We start from the raw sequence: 3,228 nt of genomic DNA, 5'->3' as shown, positions 1-3,228 counted from the left end.
GTGAGTAGAGATATAGATGAAAGAAGATTGGCTATAAGTTAATAATTTTTGAATCTGAGGGGTGAGGGTTTATTATACTCTTCATTAGCTGTAGATATATTTTATGTATATTTGAAATTTTCCTCAATAAATATTTTACAATAAAAAGTCTAACTATCAATGAAGTCAGTCAAGTGCAGTGTTTTAAATAATAAATTCTGAGAAAAAAAAATCTTCAAAAAAATACTATAGCATCAATGCTATTCTAAATTCTGTCCTCAGGCAATATAAGCCCTTTCTTGCCCCTTACTGCAGGTAATTCCGATGACACACTTTCCTCACCTCCTCTCTGCCCTTCTCTTGCACTTATAAAACATAATCAGTCGTTTTGACTGGAGTGTGGTGGACTCTTGGTTCTATGATTCTCAATAGTATATACATCTCCTCTTCCGGCTAGGAAAGGCAACCCCTAAAGGAATGGCTTTGCCAACTGACGAATTAGTTGGGGAGATCATTTGTGGGCAAATCCTCTGTAACTCCAATGTAGTAGATGCTGTTGGTGCCCTCCTCCGATCCCCTTCACCAGCTAGGACACCAGCCTCTCGCTACAGAGAAGGTTGGCCAGGGCCATGCTGGTAAACGTTTAACATCTGGCTGCCTGTGGAGTGTAAGGCCTGGGATTTGTAGCTTTTGTTGATTTTCATGATGTAATGCTTCTGTCCTGGCCGATTGCAAGCTGTCAGGGTGAAGTCACAGAAAGGGCATTTGGGAAGTGATGTGCACACAGCACTCGTGAGCTGTGGTGAGCTGACTCTAGCACACCATGACTACATACAGCTTATAGCTGTTCCTTTCTCTGGGGAATTGCCTCCTGACTGAAGACTGTCGCCTTTCAGGCTTCACCTATGGTTACCTGTAAATAATGACCAACTGATATGGGTGTACAAAATTCCAGTCCCCTTGCCTCAAGGTGAGTCAATTCTGTGGTGTGAATCATTCATCAGAACCCACCCACACGCACACAATGAATCAGATCACAGTCCTTGAGAAGACATCATTGTACAGCTCTTTGCCCTTTCCTCTCCTGCATCTCTCTCTTATTAGTAGGTTTTTCCCCCTAAAGAATATGCCATGCCCTCAGGGAATTGCATGCAGCTAAATGCTTGCCTCAGGCTCTGCTTCAAGGGAACCCAGCCTGAGACACATTCAAAACGTACCCCAAGGGGTAAGCTTTCCTAAAATTTCCCTCCAATACACTCCAAATAATACAAAGAGATAATTCTAATCTTAGGAGATACAAAAGTACAGCCCAAAGCATCCAACTACAGATCCCACATTTTTAAAGTCTTCTTTCACAGTAAAAATGCACGCAAAATTTTAACCTATGTTCCATAATATCTCTATTTAACACTAAAAATGTCATATTTTTCTCCAGAATTCTTGTGTAGAGTCAATGTTCCAAGATGCTAGACTATATACGTCCCATGGCTGTTCCAACGAAGAAGGTAAGCATGCCCCAGTCAGAAAAGCCTGAATAAACCTGAAAGCCACTCAAAGCCTGAGTGCTCAACTTTCAACTCGACAATGAGCAGTGTGTGTTGCCAATCCTCAGAGACTGTCTCTTCAGCACTAGAAGGTCAGAGCAGACCTACTCCAAACACAGTATTAGTATATCCCAGTTTCTCCTTTAATCAGGAAGGAAGGAAGGGAGGGAGAGTAAAAAAAGAAAGGAATTCAACCACTGAGAGTTAGACTTCAAAATGATCTTCATGTATTCTTTCGTATCTTCCTTTTATAGATGAGAAAACTAAGATTTGGAGCACAAAGTAATTTGCTGAAGGTCAAAAAGCAGTTAATGCTGGAACCAAGAGCCCCACATCTCTGGATTTTCAGGCAGGTTTCTCTGCTTGCCCATGTTGCCTGCCCAGCTTCTGAGGACAACGTTGACTGTCCTGTGAATTGGGATCACTCAGTCAAATGCCTCTGCTGATACCCCAAGGTTGAATGGCAGTTTGTTTAGCATGGCAGCTTTCAGACTCCAAGTGTTTCTGAGTGTGTGTTAGAAACCACCATTTCATCCAAAACTGGCCGAAGTGGAGAATTGTTTTGTACTTCCCAGCTGTATTTCCTTGAAAATAGATGGTCTGAGAATGCCCTCTGGTGCCTTCCTACTGTGTCTTCAAGCACTTTAGAGGCAGGAGGTGGCTGTGGGAAAGGATGAAGAAAAGCTAGGCTCCTGGAAATGGTTTTTTCTCTCAAAAAATGTGGCGTGGGCATACTGTCAGCAAACCGTGGCAGGATTCGACCAGGAAGTTGGATAAAAACATAATGTGTGGTTATGCCGCCTCTGTTGCATTTGCCTTTTTTTCTCTAACAATGAATATAATTCTTTTTAATTGCACAATTATTTAAATACTTATTCAAGTCATATTATATTAATACAAGGCATAGAAACAATAACAAATTGGTAGGCATAAAAATCTCTGACACAATTTGAATTTAGGCATATCCTTTTCTGGTTTTCTGCATAATATGATTACCATTTCCCAAGAACATGAGCAAAAGCACACTCCCTGGGTCCTCAGAATGGAGCGCACCTTCTCAAGTACACTGCCACTTTATTTTTAGTGACATGTATTTGAGAAAAAGAAGATTGACACTTCTTCCCCAAGATGCACGCCTCAAGAAGTTGAAAGGAGCACTGAGTAGAACAAAGGGGGGGAAAGCAATCAAAGGCTCTCTAGGGCTATGACCTAGATGCATTTGTCCCTTTTAATCCCTACATTGAACAGAAATATGAAATATAAGATTTGGGAAGGAGAGTATCTAGTTTAGCCCTCCCTCACATCAGGACTGGTCATAGCAATACCTGTCATTTATTGAATATTAACTCAATGCCAGGTAATATAAGCATTTCACATGAATTATTTCATTTAAATCCTCACAGCCACCTCAGGAGAAAGGTGCTATTATTTTCTGCATTGTGTAGATTAGAAACTTGAGTCATGGAAATATTAAATGCATTGCCCAAGGTCACTCAGCCACTAGCAAAGCCAGAACTCAAGCATCAATCTGCTCGGCTCCCAAGCCCATGCTTTTAGCCCTCCGGATATATGACGTCCACAACTTTCCTAAACAGCCTTCCTGTTCCCTCTCCTTAAATTCATCCAAACAATGAGCAAATCATTCTATTATCTAACAGCTCTCATTGCTTAAATCACCCCTGTTAGCCCCTATTTGGTACCGGAG

General features: G+C 41.4%; 1 annotated feature.

Annotated features, from left to right (window-relative positions):
- Positions 421 to 1,620: an enhancer, noted in NCBI's record as "CDK7 strongly-dependent group 2 enhancer chr5:81661015-81662214 (GRCh37/hg19 assembly coordinates)". NCBI's record gives its function as "activates an origin of replication core promoter dependent on BRD2, BRD4, P300/CBP, MED14 and CDK7 cofactors, with strong dependence on CDK7, by STARR-seq in HCT116 cells {active_cell/tissue: HCT116}" and the evidence as "EXISTENCE:reporter gene assay evidence [ECO:0000049][PMID:35650434]".

Source organism: Homo sapiens, chromosome 5 (assembly GCF_000001405.40).
Source record: "Homo sapiens chromosome 5, GRCh38.p14 Primary Assembly".
NCBI classification, from domain to species: Eukaryota; Metazoa; Chordata; class Mammalia; order Primates; family Hominidae; genus Homo; species Homo sapiens.
This window is presented reverse-complemented; position numbering and strand designations above follow the sequence as displayed.